This window comes from Homo sapiens, chromosome 10 (genome assembly GCF_000001405.40).
Source record: "Homo sapiens chromosome 10, GRCh38.p14 Primary Assembly".
Classification (NCBI taxonomy): Eukaryota; Metazoa; Chordata; class Mammalia; order Primates; family Hominidae; genus Homo; species Homo sapiens.
In genome coordinates this window covers 77,150,792-77,166,871 of record NC_000010.11, presented here as the reverse complement: position 1 = coordinate 77,166,871, position 16,080 = coordinate 77,150,792, and the positions used below count along the sequence as shown (strand labels likewise).

At 42.9% G+C, this 16,080-nt stretch overlaps 1 protein-coding gene across 56 annotated transcripts in view, besides 2 other annotated features; it reads left to right on the top strand.

Moving 5' to 3' along the window:
- The window catches only part of KCNMA1 (potassium calcium-activated channel subfamily M alpha 1), a 768,207-nt gene that overhangs the window by 470,937 nt on the left and 281,190 nt on the right, over positions 1-16,080 (top strand). The window lies entirely within an intron of this gene.
- Positions 2,256-3,455: an enhancer, noted in NCBI's record as "MED14-independent group 3 enhancer chr10:78923175-78924374 (GRCh37/hg19 assembly coordinates)". NCBI's record gives its function as "activates an origin of replication core promoter dependent on BRD2, BRD4, P300/CBP and CDK7 cofactors, and independent of MED14, by STARR-seq in HCT116 cells {active_cell/tissue: HCT116}" and the evidence as "EXISTENCE:reporter gene assay evidence [ECO:0000049][PMID:35650434]".
- Positions 2,627-2,921: an enhancer, noted in NCBI's record as "tiled region #3384; HepG2 Activating DNase matched - State 9:DNaseU". NCBI's record gives its function as "activates a minimal TATA promoter and a strong SV40 promoter by Sharpr-MPRA in HepG2 cells {active_cell/tissue: HepG2}" and the evidence as "EXISTENCE:reporter gene assay evidence [ECO:0000049][PMID:27701403]".

The window sequence follows — 16,080 nt, the reverse complement described above, 5'->3', positions numbered from 1 at the left end:
ACATAGACACTGAAAATACATCCATCTACTATGTATTAATTTTAAAAAGAGGCTATTGATCAACCTTTGGCAAGGTCTTGCTGTATTGACAGCTTCTCAATGTCCACTAGCAGTTACCTCCTTCTCCCCTTCATCTTTCCTACATTAAGGCAAAAATACAGTATTCAGTTAAAACTCCTCCTCCCCTCCTTCTTTTCTTCTTCCTCTTCATCCTCTTCCTCCTTCTCCTCTCCCTCTCCCTCCTTCTCCTTTTCTTTTCCCTCCTCCATGTCCTTCCCCTCCTCTTCCTCTCTTTCTTCTTCCTTCCCTTCCTCTTCCTCTGAATCAATCATTTTTGGCCATAGCGACTTGCCCTTTGCAAACTAGTATGTGTTGCAGTATTATGATTTCTCTGCTTGAGACAGGAACCTCTGGTGTTTTGGAGGAAATTTCATCTTGGGCTGCTCCCCTTCTTACCACATCTGTTGCCCAGTATCCACCACAAAGCCTGTAACTTAGCATCTGCCTATAACACCAAACAGGTTGCATCAGATAAACAAAAATTCTTACTGTGGTAGGTGAATATTTTAGCAAACGTAAAATACTATAACTCGAATTTACAAACTGGGTCAGAAGTGCTTTCTCATGTTTTGGTGTCTGGAGCAACGTGCACATGGTCAGAGGACTTCTTATTTCAATTTTCTTGTTTGTTTATATTTATTTTATGAAATAAATAGCCTCCCTTCCATTAGTACAAGTACTTCTGGTTTGTTAGAGACGAAGGGCCCCAGCTCCACTGGGAACAAAGGGGACCTATAGGAAACACAAGTGTCGCCAGCTTTTCCATGCACTGACCTGCCCTAATGTGTATCCTCCTCCCATAGCCCGCAGAGACTCCCCAACCTCACTTTAGCTCAACTGCATTTTCCCCAGACTGTTCTGAAAAATGTGTTGTGACGTGCTGCCACCTAGTGAAGGAAAGTAGGAATGGACATTATAGTGGCTGTCGCCCTCAGAATCCTCTTTGAAGCCTGGTTTAGTTAACCTCTGCCGAAATAAGGTCCTACGTTTTTAACTTTCAGAAAATAACTCTTATAAGACTCCCAAAGGGTCCAAAGACTATTTAGTGAAGACTGAAGAAGACAAATGTCAAGTGAATAGCTAAGAGTTTGAAAAGTAGGTATACGTGTTCGGGCTAAGTATAAATGGAAAACAACTCCCCGCAGAAAACCATTCTAATTGGACTTGCAGGGCAGGTTAAGAGGAGGAAGTCAGCCCGACTCCAGAGTACAGACATTACCTGTTTTCACTAAAATAAAGGACTGTCTTCAATTGTTTGCATTATCATTTTATCTCCGTAGAATATTTTCCTTCGGTCTTTTGACTGAATTGGTTTTGAATTTAAAAGAAATATTGAAATGATCTGTCACTTTACTTTTTGCCTATCAAGCTGTCAGCTTCAAAAAATGAACAAATGTATGGATTCTGAATAGATATGTTTCTCAGACCTAAAAAGAAAGAAAATGTGTTAATAAACTTGCGTCTAGTCATCATATGTGTACTTCAATGTGTCAGAACTGATTTATGAACCAGAAGTACTGTGTTTAAGTGAGGACTTCTCTGCATTCATATTTTAAGTATTATTATTTCATTCTTTCCTCTTGGGGGGCAAGTTAGTATAATATTACCATTGACTACCGTTGGGTGGGTCCCAAAGGTCATTTCTGTGGAGGATAATAGAGCTTTTCATATGAGACACTTTCAGCTGCCTAGCAGAGGCAGCACACTATGACAAGTGGCCAAAAAAAAGTAGTGAATATTTTTATCGTGAGTTTTCATGGCATGAATCAACTCATTCTTCAGAAGTCTGTATTTTTTTCTTTCTATTATGGCATGTCTGTCATTTCCTTTGACTCTCTGGCTGGTCTTCATCTCAGCAAAGTGGAAAAAACATATTTTAGATGGGAAAAAATGGGAAGAAACTGAAAGAGGGAAAATATCCCTAATACAAGGAGAAACACAACTCTAGATTCCCTATTGCCATATGGAACATTTAGGATTTCCCAGGAGGAAACACGTTCAACCAGTTGCTTCTGTTACCTCCGGACTAAGAGGGATCCTGATAGTAGCTGTGGCTGGTGAAGGAACACCTCTATTATCTGGCTCTGGGTGCTGCAGAACCAGGCAGTTAACAGGACAAGAAAACCAAATGATCCATGGGTGCAAATGTGCTTTTGCCAAAGCCACTTCCCTGGGGTCTAGATAGCGAAGAGAAATGGTGGCTTCTAGAGGAGGAAGAGCTAGGAAGTAATCCTGGAGTCCAGTTGTCTTTTCTTAAAGATCATGTTTCAGGATTCCAAAAAAAAAAAAGAAAGATCAATGGCATGTAGGAGGGTGGGGGACAAAGAGGGTGAATTATGAGTTTGTGTCTGTGTTTTAAAATAGCCACCTGCCTTGAAACTGCCATTTAGAAATGTGCATGGAAGGAGAATCTTCCTGATTCTTAGCTCTAATTTATGGCCAATTTATGAAGTCAAGGTCATCTCTCTTCCTGCTGGTGTGTGTTCAACCTGGCCTCCCTTTATGCCAAAGACCTTGAGCAGACCTTGGCTAAAACCCCCAGGTATACTCCCATTCACTGTCAGCAGTGATCCGTGGAATGGATTGGGGCTGGCCGCCTTGCCTTGGGCAGAGTTCATGTGTCACTCAGGAAGATGCATCAGGCTGCTGAGTCAGAGGGAGTCTGCCTTATGTCCACAGAGAGGAGTGAATCAGAAAGCCAGATGAGTCCAGCTCTCAGGACATGACAAATTGCAGAATGCCGAGCTGGGAGGCTTGAGTACATCATATCCTTCTTATTCTACTGATGAGAAAACTGGGGCCTGGGGATGCCCAGGAATTTGCTTACATTTCTTCTCCTAATGAATTAATTCTTTCATTTGTTCAACAGTGATGCCCTGAGTGTCTCCCGTGTGTCAGGCTTTGTTCTAGGTGCTGGGGTTAGAAAGAGGAAGAGTGTCACATGAGGAGAAGACACATGTCACAGGTCATTCTAAAAGGGAAACCCAACTGAGAATGAAGAGTGTCTCAGGGCAGAAAAAGGAAGGAGCAAAGACATCCACCTTGGCACTAGACAATTTGGGTCCTGATTTGACAGTCTTTAGTAATTAGCATAACCATCAGTACATCATGGAAGCTTACCCCATGTACCATTTCTTAGCTCTCCTCACTGTTGTGATTGCAAAGGTGCTTGGAAGGTTACTTGATGAGCCTCTTTCTGCTGCTCCAGACCCAGACTGTGAGTTCCATCAAGGCAGGGATCTTTCTCAGCTCTCTGTTTTATCCCCAGAATGGGACAGAGCACTGCACGCATGGGAGATACTCAGTAAATAGCCACTGAGTGAACAATGGAATGAATGACAAATGATAAGGGTTCCCAAGTTCCATTCTATAGAATAAGGGTCAGCAAAATTCTTCCATAAAGGGCCTGATAGTCAATGTTTTTGGCTTCAGGGGCTGTATGATCTCCACCACCACCATTCAACTCTGCCTCTGTGGCATGAAAGCAGCCATAGGCAATAGGTAAAAGAGTGGACATAGCTGTGTCCCAATAAAATTGTATTCGGGACACTGAAATTTGAATTTCATACAATTTTCATATTCCATAAAATATTCTAATTTTTTTAGCTGTTTTAAAATGTAGGGGGAAAACATTTTTAGCTGGTGTCCTGTGCAAGAACTGGTGGTGGCCAGATTTGTCTCACAGGCTGTAGTTTACCAACCCCTGCTATAGGAGGAAGATTAATAGGGTAAAGATTTTATGAGGTTTTTAATTGATTCATTTATCCATATGTTTGAGCATTTACTTACTCTATGTCAGGCTCTGTAGCAGACACTGGACATACAAACAGAAATATTAGTCACCAATATCAAGATGAAATCATTATCCTTGATGGGTCAGATCTTCCGAGGATGAGTCACGACCGTGTAGGAAATATGAACCCCGCAGTCTGTTTAATTGATGTATGCTATGCACTCTAAAATTAATTGGAGATTTCTAGATAAAACTTTCCAAATGTCACAAGTATCCTTCCAGCATTTCATATTTACAGACTGGAAAATCAATGGAGATGGAATCATTCTCCCACTGTCTCTAAGTTAATTTGCCTGTCTAATGCTTTAACACTTTCTGCTAGTTCTGTCTCATTCTTTACCCATTGGAGAGTACCAGTGGGTTTTCAGATAACTTCCTTAAAGACCAGAAAGAAAGATTTAAAAAAAATTCCAGCTCCTTCCTTTTGGCTCGGGTCTTCCAGGTCTTTATCTTGATGAAAACTGGAGGCAAAGATGTTATCTCTGGATTGTAGTCAGAGAACAACAAAAACCCCCATCTTTTCTTTCCCAGGAAAATATTAATCAAAATAGAAATAAGGTGAGATTAGAACCTTAGAAGGTTTTGCATAATACTTTTCTTGTTTGACTGTTTCTGGCCTGTCTTAATCCAATAATCTATTAAACTCTAGCTAGTACTTTCTTTCTTCATCCCCAGCAAATTTGCAATCCTCCAGAATCCTTTTGGGAATTCCAAGGCAAACGGCCTTAAACAAGAACATAATTGTCTGAGAGATTTTGTTTGCTTATCGGAACTGTTTGGTCCACAGCATTATCTGCATGGGGGCATAATTCCCTTAGCTGCAGTCAGTTTTACAGGTCTTTGCTCATAGGATTACAGTTCTTTTACATAAAAGGATGCTTGGAATGGGGGCCACCAAGAGTGCCAATATTTAGTATCTTTAACTGAGCTCAAAGTAATAACTACTTAACTAGAATCAGTGTGCTTCTTGATATCTAGGAAAAAAAGGCAAAGGAAGGAAAGAACAGGATTTGGGGATGTAATTTGAGATTAATAAATGATTCACTCAATAGATACATATGGATCATAGCACTCTGCTTGTTGTGCATGGTATACTGTGAAATGTAAGACACAATTTCAGCCTAGAGTAGCTTAATCTAGTTATAGATATGGGAATTCCAAATACCTTTTCTACAACAAGAGTTCAAAGTCTTTCATAAGTCAATATAACAAAAGATGAATAAATAGTTAAATAATACTACAGAAGAGTAAACATGAGAAGACATGCATTTAAATGTATGCAGAGCACTTATTGCTTTGGATAGAATTCACATGTTATCCATGCGTTGACTACAAGATACATGCACATCTCTAAACACACTCATAACTGAATTCAGCTTAATAGGATAGTAATTGAATGATGGAACCTAGTGTGCCTGACTTTTCTCAGATGAAATATCTGGCTGGTGCAATGCAGTAACTACTATTAAAACTCCATCAGGCATGGTGGCTCACACCTGTAATCTCAGCAGCTTGGGAGGCCAGGGCAGGAAGATTGCTTGAGCCCAGGGGTTGAAGACCAGCTTGGGCAACATAGTGAGACCCCATCCCTACAAAAAAAAAAAGTAGTTGGGCGTGGTGGCTTATGCCTGTAGTCCTAACTACTTGGGAAGCTGAGGCAGGAGGATCGCTTGAGGCAAAGAGGTTGAGGCTGCTCAGAGCCATAATCATGCCGCTGTACCCCAGCCTGGGTGACAAACACAGAGACCCTGTCTCTTAAACAAAACTCACTAGGATATACCAGTGAGTCCATATGAAGAATCCTACCCATCCTTCTCACCTTGGCCTGAATGAATGAGTACAAGTGTCAGTAAAACAGCTGTTATTTATTTCCTTATCCCACATCTGTCCTTGAAGGCTGTCATGTGGTCAAGGACCATGGAGCCGACAGACAATGTTTCTATCAACAGGCAGTTCAAACCAAGCCTGTGGCTGACCATATTGAGTGGATGAAAGAGCCTTGGAGGGACTGGGCCTTTTAGAAAAATAGGCTCGTAAGTCAAGAGCATGGTGTCAGCTGTCTGTGTGTATTTCATGGTGAGAGTGAAAGCAGATCTAAATTATGAGTTGTTGAGTCACCTGCATGAATCAATTCAATTCTTAATTTGAAAGGAAGCTCAGTGCCAAGGGAACATAACATATGGAAGGAGTGGCCTCAATGACTAACAAAACCAGGGCCTATTAGGGTTGCCTGAGTTTACTTAGGTGCATTTATAAGACATGACATTTCCACAGCTGTTCAACTATGTGAAAACCTTTTGTAAGCATTACTGTATTTGATAAACTCTGTGAGATGGATGTTATTGTTATCTCTGAATTGGCAGATATGGGCAAGGATGTTCCAAGAGGTCTGCAGTGTCACACAAGTAGTAAATAGCATAGCCTGGGCTAGACTTAGAGGTCTTTTAACCAGTCACATTCCCCCTCAGCAGTGAGAACTATGGTCTGCCCCTGCTCCCTCAGTGCACGCCAATTAGTTAGGCCTGTATTCAGATGGGATGAGTTATGTTCTGATTAGGAACCACATGTAGTATATGCTATAAGTTAAAAGTAGGCAGATGTGCCTGTAGCCATAGGGACTTGCTGGGGGAGCTGGACTTGAGTTGAGTCTTAAAACATGGAAAAGCCTTAACTAAGTGGAGTGGAGGGCCAAGAGCATTCCAGACAAGAGAAAAAGGTGAGCAGGGGGAGGAATTTGCATCCTTCTTTGGGGAGCCAGGAAGTGGACTGGTGTGAATATTTCAGAGTGATCATATAGGGAGGCAGCTGAGGGATCCTCAGTGCGTGGTTATAGTAACTGGAGTGGATTTACTCTGGGGCAGGACTTACTCCGTTGACACCCTTGGAGAAGAGCAGGGGAACAGGAGGAGAGCCTTCCCAGTTACCCTGTTAGGGACCTTCTCTTTGACCGTGTCCTGCAGATGCACAGTAGTTGGGATTCATCCACCTCCATCCACTTATTTCTTTTTAGCTCATTTTGTTTCATTCAACAGACATTCCCATTACCACATTCTAGGCACTGTGTCAAGTCTTACTGAAGTTACTAAAAGGAACCCTCAATGAATGTTTTGTGAATTTAGACATGAATGAATGAACAAAAGAAAAGGGACAAGGGCTGGTGAGCTCATTCATGGGGGAGAAGGAAGTAAGTAAAGAATTCCAGTGTGTTGCATTGAATATGGCAGGAGAGTGCTGGGGGAACAGGCAGAAAAGAGACAGCCTGACGTGTCCCAGGGAAGACTTTCCAAAAGGAGGTGGTGTTCTGGCTGGTTCCTGGAGTCTGAAGTAGAAATTTGTTAGCTACAGGAGGGGGGAATAGGCAGGTCAAACTGAGGGCAAGTGTTTGCAAATGAACAAAGGCCTGAAAATTAGGGGAAAAGCAAGGATGTAGGTGTAACTTAAGTTGAAGTGGAGAAGAAGGTAAGGACAGAAGACCAGGGAAAACATTTCCACCTGAGACTGAACAGAACCACCTGGTCCAAGGTCACTTCGTTATGTCTTTAGGCAAGCCCTGGGCCAAAATGGTGTGGCTCTGGGAACTTTGCTCACTCAAAGCCCTACATAAGCCCATCTTTCCCATAAGAAGGCTGAGGGAACATCTATCTAAGATAGATGCTAGTAATTTAACAAAAAAATAAAAGGCAACGATACTATAGGGAAGAAAAGAAAGAAAGGAGCGGATGATGTTACTTGGCTATTGTTTTCCTAAAACAAAAGCAAGAAATGAAGCATCTTTTAAGAGCTGGCCTAGAATGCCATTCTGGGGGCTTAGGAAAAAAATCAAAATGTATTAGAGCTCTCTCAGACATTGGATGGTTTATGGCAGCATCTAAAATTGCTGGTAAAATTATGACCTTGTAATTCACAGCCGTGTCATATATTCTCTAGCACACAGTGTAATTTATGTACCAAGCCAGTTGCTTCAAAAAAGAATGGGGAAAAAACTCACACAACACAAAGTTTATAAAATGTGGTTATTTTTAATGGATAATGTCTTTAGCCTAAACCTGTGTTGTTAGGAGGAAGGGTGTGCCGTTGCTCAAGGTTATTACCACAGTTCTTGCAGCATGGGGTGAGAGTATGAGGATTACTTATTACACTTACGCATTGGCTGGCCAGGCTACCATATCCACAACTACACAGTCCTCCCTTCCTCCCTCCCTCAAAGAGAGCTATCACCTTGAACTCCTTCTTCCCTTGAAATAAAACCTGGGCAACTACCGAAGCTTGACCTTGACTCATGCCTTAAACCTGAGCACAAAACTTAACCTCTGCTGGGAAACCTTCCTCCCTATGAAACAAAGGGGTCTCAAGACAACTTCTTAGCAAGCCAAAAATGAGATTTCCACTCAGCTTCTCAAGTTAGCCTGGCTTTGACCCCAGTTATGGAGCTAGAGAGGGGAGAGGAGCTGGGAGCAAACTAGGAATCATGGAGGGGGGGACTATGGGGAATATCAGATTCACACAACTCTCACTTCCATGAAAAGGGGGAAGGGGAGAGAGAGGAGACTCCCATGGCCGAGTGATCAGGTCCAGAGACCTCCTTGTGGTCCAGGCTGCACCTGCACCAGTCTGCTTGACCTTGAGCAACAAGCTATAGTCTCTGAATCCTATCACCCTCACCTATAATAAGGAGATGAGCTCTTGCCTTCACTACCTAAAGGAGTTACTGTGAGGATCAAAGGGTCTATTATAGCTTTTAATCTTGAGCCAATGACTAGGTCATTATTTTTCTCTTGCTCTGCCTGTATCATTTTCTCCTCATGGCATACAGCTCTTTTGCCTCAAAGAAGATTCTTGAGGATGATGACCTGCCTCAAACTTCCTTCTCCCTAAAAGTGTTTTCTTTTGTTCAGTTTCATTTCTGTCTTTCCACTTATTCCTGATTATTTTCCCTGAGCCTCTTAGAGATCTGATCACCTCATTGTATAGGAGCTATTTACACTCCTTCTTTGATATGACCACATGCTTCTCTGGATCTGATTCTTAATTCTTTGCTACTTCCCTCCCTGCCCCCAACCCATGGGGGCACCAGAAGCTGTGGGAAAGGAGGCAGCCCATCGCTAAGGAGGAGGAGGACCTTGTCAGGGTGTTGGTGGCGCAGGTGACCAGAGGACAGAGCTCACTGCTGTGATCCTGGAGAGGGTGCCAGGACGCTGTTCCCATTAAAGGCAGTGGGGCTTGGAGACACTGCAGCCTCATGCTCAGGCCTCCTAGACTTTGGCCCTTGCTGTGGGGCTCGCCTCGCTGAAGGCAGGATGAAGGGCTTATTTTTCTGGCTGAGATATTGCATCCCAGAAACCACAGAAATACTTCCAAAACCCCCAAGATAAGAGTGCTCTTATTTTGCTCCAGCGTGAAGAGGAGTTTATTTCATATGATCAAGTAAAGCAAGTCTGGACGTCTTCCTTATGTATTTTCAAAATAATTATTTTATTATTTAAAAAACTCAACATATTCATTTAAGAGAAATGGAAGCAACACAGAAAATGCCAAGAAGAATGTGTCCAACAAACCAAAGCAAATATCATAAAACATTTGATCACATTGGATAAAGATCATTCTAGATATTTTTCTGTACAGTAGATAAGTAAATAAGTTAGACAAACAGAAATTTATATAAAATGAACTTGTACTAGCCTCCCGAGTAGCTGGGATTACAGGCACTTGCCACCATGCCCGGCTAATTTTTTGTATTTTTTAGCAGAGACAGGGTTTCACCATGTTGGCCAGGATGGTTTTGAATTCCTGACCTCGGGACCCGCCTGCCTCAGCCTCCCATAGTGCTGGGGTTATAGGCATGAGCCACTGTGCCTGGCCTACATGTTTTTTTAAAAAATAAAACTGTTAAGTTTAAGCTTATTTGTGTAGTCACCCAGTGGATTTTCCCTGTCTGCTGCACAGACAAAAGTAATTCAGTGAGATGGCAGTATTGCTGTAAAGAAAGAGTTTAATTAATGTGAGTCTGGCCACCCTGGAGGACTAGGGTTATCCTTCAAATCAGTCTCCCCAAAGGCTAGGAGGTTAGGAGTTTTTCAGGATGGTTTGGTGGGCAGGGGGCTAGGGAACAGGGAATGTTGATTGCTTGGGGGTAAAACCACAAGCGTATGGAAAACAGTCCACTCGTGTTGAGTCCTCTGGGTGGGGACCACAGGACTGGCTGAGTCATGAGTCTTGGGTCCAGGTGGGGTCAGTCACTCGCCAGAAATGCCAGAAGTCTGAAAAACATCTCCCAGGGCCAGTCTTCAGTTCTACAGTAGTGATGTTATTTACAAGAGTAATTGAGGAAGTTACAAATCTGTGACCTCCAGAACAATGGCTGGTTATCATTTAACTGCGCTTATGTGTTAGCAGAATTCAGGCACCTCTTATAACCCTAACCTTATGGCCTTTCGTTAGTTTTACAAGGACAATTTAGTTTTGGGAAGGGCTATTACTGTCCTTGCTTAAAGGTTAAACTATAAATTCCTCCCAAAGTTAGCTTGGCCTATGCCCAGGAATGACTAAGGGTAGCTTGGAAGTTGGAAGCAAGAGGGAGTCAGCTCTGTCAGATTTCTCTTGTTGTCATAATTTTGCAAAGGTGATTTCACTTGAATGTAGAAAAATTGGAGAAAAATGAAGCAATCGCTAAACTTTGTAACTTTTACCTCCTAAGACATGCTGATATGAATATGAGAAAGCAATTAGGAGAAAAGATGAAGGTAGAGTCATGTTTTCATTTAACTTTTTTTTTTTTTTTTTTTTTTTTTTTTAAGATGGAGTCTCGCTCTGTCACCCAGGCTGGAGTGCAGTGGTGTGATCTTGGCTCACTGCAAACTCTGCCTCCCAGGTTCATGCCATTCTCCTGCCTCAGTCTCCCAAGTAGCTGGGACTACAGGTGCCTGCCACCGTGCCTGGCTAATTTTTTTGTATTTTTAGTACAGACGGAGTTTCACCCTGTTAGCCAGGATGGTCTCGATCTCCTAACCTCGTGATCCACCCACCTTGGCCTCCCAAAGTGCTGGGATTACAGGCGTGAGCCACCATGCCCGGCCAACTTTGTTTTTTAATTTGGTGTAAAACAGATGAACTTTCTGCTGTGAAAGAAGAGAAAATGACATTTCATTTTCTCCCCCATCCTTTCCCCTCACTTCTTAGTTATGTAATTGTTTCACTGTGTCAGGGTTTTGTGACATTCTCTTCTGAGGCTATAGCTTTCAATTCTATTTAGCCTTAGTAAAGTCTTGCATTTTAAAGTGTTCAGTACTCACCCAGGTTCATTTTTTGCATAGCATCTTCTTATTGTTTTAGTTCAGATCGTAATGGTGGAGGAACCGTTTCCATGGGACTGAGAAGAAAGACACTTGTGTTGACGTTCAGGCATACAGGGAATGAAATCTCGGGGGCAGCATGGGAGAGGCAGCCAGAGCCATGGCTGAGCGTGCTTCCAGGGAGGCAGAACAGGGCAGGGTGAGCACACATCTGGAGTTCCACTGCCTAAATTTCAACCGCGGCTCCATCATCTCATTGCTAGGTGAGCTTCGGCAAGATGTTTAAGCTCTCTGTGCCTCAACTGCTGCCACATCTGTAAAATGGGGACAACCATGGCCACCGCATGTAAGGTGTTGTGGGAATAAAATGAGTGATTTAAAAATGATTACAGAGGTATCTGACTCACTGTCAATGTTTGCTCTTGTTATAGAATCACACTTTTTGGAGATCAATAGCAGGCAGGAAAGAATTCTCTGAGAATCTCACAGTCATCTCCTTTCTTTAGTTGTTTGCAGGGATCTTTTAAAATGTCAACCCTTTTTCAATCTGCTTTTGTGGCCCACCTCTTTAAACTTTTTCCTTCTTCTTAGATGGAAACCAAGACCTCCTTACGGCCCATAAAGCCTGCCATGGCCTTAGAGCTTCTGCCTTCTCCTGCACCCCCCAGGCTTCTTCTCCCTGCCTCAGCAATGGCAGGCAGCAACCCGCTCCTTTGGATGGCACTTGCCCCTGCGTCCCCTGATGGCCCACTCTCTCCCTTCAGTTCTCCACTGATCTATCACCTCATTAGAAAGGCCTCTGTGGCCACACAGTCTAAAGTGTCCCTCACTGGAATTTGTGTGTTTTATAGCAATTTATACAAGCATTTGCTTGAAGCAATTTGTAATTAGTTGTTTGTTTGCTTCATTGTTTAGTTGTTTCTTGATGTGACTTGTCTGTACTACTAGGCCGTAACCTACTTGTGAGCAGGGATCATGTCTGTCTTATTCAGTATTTTCATCCAACACAGAGCAATGCCAGGCACCAGCAGGTGCTTAATAAATATTTATTGCATGAAATATCTCTGCCTCTATATATCTGTATCTCTATATAGATACAGATGGACATTGCATATTAAGGTACCTACCTGTAGAGAGGTAGCTACACAGCTGTCTATATGGATATAGATACTCACTAAGTGGCCTGAATTATTCAGGCAACAGTCTTTCCATTTCATCATTCTATTTTCTCTTTATATGACAATTATCTAAGTAATGAAGAATTGGAATCAGGGCTAGGGGTGGTTAGAGGAAGAAATTTGAAAGGCAAGCGACATTCATTGAGCATTAGTTGGTGGCTGCACAGTGCTGGATGTTTTGTGCTGTAATTCATTTAATTTCTATAGTAACCTGTGGTATTAGTCCATTCTTACACTACTATGAAGGAATCCTCCAGACCGGGTAATTTATAAAGGAAAGAGGTTGAATTGACTCACAGTTCCGCATGCCTGGGGAGGCCTCAGGAAACTTACAATCACGGTGGAAGGCAAAGGAGAAGAAGGCACCTTCTTCACAGGGTGGCAGGACAGAGTGAGTTCAAGCAGGGGAAATGCCAGATGCTTATAAAACCATCAGCTTTCTTGAGACTTACTCACTATCACGAGAAAAGCATGAGGGAAACCGCCCCCGTGATCCAATTACCTCCACCTGGTCCCACCCTTGACAGGTGGAGATTATAGGGATTACAATTCAAGATGAGATTTTGGATGGGGACACAGAGCCTAACTATATCACCTGTGAACAACAGACATTTTCTCATTTTACAAATGACGTTGGGAAAGTTAATAAGCAACAGAGCTGGGCCCGGAGACTCCTGTCCATTAGGTAATGCTGCCTCTGAGAGAAGCAGGACTTGGTGAGCACTCAGCAACTTTGGGCAGGGTGCAACACCTGTAAACTCCAGGATGTAAGTTGCTCATGCAGCTCCCATAAATGATTTCAAATCACACGTGAAAACCATTATGAATCTGAGAAATGCAGAATAAAAAAATCATCAGGGTGGGTTTGGGTTCATTAAAAAAGGAGGTGAGGCTGGGCATGGTGGCTCATGCCTGTAATCCAGCACTTTGGGAGGCCAAGGTGCTTGAGCTTGTGAGTTTGAGACCAGCCTGGGCAACATGGTGAAACCCATCTCTAGAAAAAATACAAAAAATTAGCTGGATGTAGAGGTGCATGCCTGTAGTCCCAGCTATGCAGGACGCTGAGGTGAAAGGATCCTTTGAGCCCTGGAGACTGAGGTTGCAGTGAGCCAAGATGGTGCCACTGGACTCCAGCCTGGGCAATAGGGCCAGACCTTGTCTCAAAAAACAAAAAGAAAAAGAAAAAAAGAAGATGAAATCAGAAGATTTGGGTGTAGTTAAGGAAACATATTTGTCAGCAGAATTTTGGGGGTGAGCTGGAAATTATGGAATGCTTTTCTGGGTAAAATTCACCAGTCTCAGGCCTTCTTTTCCCAAAATGTGCTTCATGGAGTGTTGGATTACACTGAAAGTTGGCATACATTATTTGGAAAGAGAACTCTGTGCTCCAGTAAGTTTGGGAAATCCTCATTTAATTAAAGAGTTTCTTAACCATAAGAATCCTCAGAGCCTTCCATATGCTAATGTGCATTGTCAGTTTCCAAGGCTAGGAAGTGGCATTTCTCTGGATCTATAAGGTCTCAAGATGCCCTTGAGACTGTATTCTACCTGATGCATGGCTCCAGGGGCCTTAGTGGGGAGCGCCACATTTTCCATGTTCTCATGACAGCAGGAAGCCCTCAGTGAATGGAGGTACAGTGTGCAGGGTCGCAATCAGTCCTTTCCATCCGCCGCTTCATTTAAGCCTCACATCAACCTAAGACATAGGTTTTATTATTCCTGGGAGGCTGGCCCTGTTGGTGCCTGTCACCGCAACCCAGACCCGCTTGCCCTTACCTGTAGTGCAGGTGGCTAGATTTTGAATTGCCAGCATCTGCATTTCTTTGCCAGAGGACTTTCTCCAGTCACTGAAGCTTGCTTGTGGGCCTGTCTACAGGTCGTAAGTGCTAGGGACTTAATGCCTCCTCAACCAGTGACCAACAGGAGGTGTTGGATCAATGCCCCAGCCCCCTCACCCCTTGGTCGCAAGGCTCTTCTGTTTACACATAAAGCCATGTGTAGATCCTGGCTGCCAGAGTACCCCAGTGGGATTTTCCTTTAGTTGCCCACAGTGATAAATGCTTGATAACAAACTCTTTATGGATGCTTTCCCATCTCCTCCCCACTTTCCTGTTCCCTTACTGGTGTTTCCTGAGATCACTTCCCAAGTTAACTATTTGTAATCAAATCCTTTTCTCAGGTTCTCCTGCAGAGGAACCCCAACTGAGACATCCCATTTTACAAAATAATGACAACAGCAACAACACACACACACACACACACACACACACACAAAAGCAAAAAAACAGAAGAGTCTCCAAGAGGTTATGGAAGGTGCCCTAGGAAACAGCTTATGCATGGTAGAACCAGGACTTAAATTTCACAACACATTTATTTAGCACCTGCTATGTACCCCTTGCTATCCTAAATGCTGAGATGACAAGATGAAAAAGACAGTCTTGGACCCTCTGTCCTAAACCATAGGCAAAAATAAATTAGTCCAGGCCTGTCTTCAAAGCCTCTGCCCTTAACCACAATACTCTGCTAATTCTCCCAGGATGGACATTTGACTCTCTTTTAAACTGGGAGTCCATTTCCATACCACCCTTATGAAGAGAAGCTGTGGTATTCAGCTCCTATTCTGCCCTCTAGGCCATGAAAAAACTGCATCAGATCAAGACTTTTGATTCATGAAATATGCTAGAGAAAATTGCAAGATTTCCTGACTCAATGATTTTCCTGCCCAGTGTAACATCTCTCTTAATTAGTGAGTTGCAATTAGCATTTATAAAAAGAAATCATTGCACAAGGTGAGTCAACTGAGATGTAACATCTTGCTCTAAACACTGTCCTCCTGGTGTGAGTGGGATCATTCAGAAATTAGGTATCTTAATCAGCTGAGTGCTCCAGCATTCAAATGTATCTGGCCCAGCTGGGAGGCCAGAGTCTGTGGCATGCATAAGAAGCTTACAGGAGGGAGGGAGTTTTCTGTGTACACTAGCATTTGTTCATAGTTGCAAAGTAGCTGTAGAAACTGCAGATTTATGGCCAGGTGTGGTGGCTCATGCCTGTAATCCCAGCACTTCAGAAGGGCAAGGGGGGGCAGATCACAAGGTCAAGAGATCGAGACCATCCTGACCAACATGGTGAAACTCCATCTCTACTAAAAATACAAAAATTAGCTGGGCCTGGTGACTCTCACCTGAGTCCCTAGCTACTTGGGGAGGCTGAGGCCCGGGAATCACTTGAACCCAGGAGGTGGAGGTTGCAGTGAGCTGATCTGGCACCACTGCACTCCCACCTGGTGACAGAGCAAGACTCCATCAGAAAGGAAGAAAGAGAAAGAAAGAAGGAAAGAAAGAAAGAGAGAGAGAGAGACAGGGAAAGAAAGAAAGGAAAGAAAGAAAGAAAAGAAAAGAAAGAAAGAAAGAAGAAAGAAAGGAAGGAAGAGAAGAGAGAGAGAAGAAAAGAGAGAGAGAGAAAGAAAGAAAGAAACTGCAGATTTATGAGAATGATTGTTATTTTTCCTACTTTGGCTATTTTTAAAGTTATATTTCTTTGTTACTGAGTGACCTCCAGAGGCAGAGAGCCACATTATAATTATAGAAATTTGATCTGAATGGGATATTAAGGGTTATCTATTACCAACACTCCCAGTCCCTTCTTCCTCCCTTCCTTCTTTCCTTCCTTTTGATGAGAAACCTAATCACAAAGAGAGAACATGACTTGTCTAAGGTAACATAGTGTGTTGGAATACTCCTGAAACTAGAACCTACTTAGA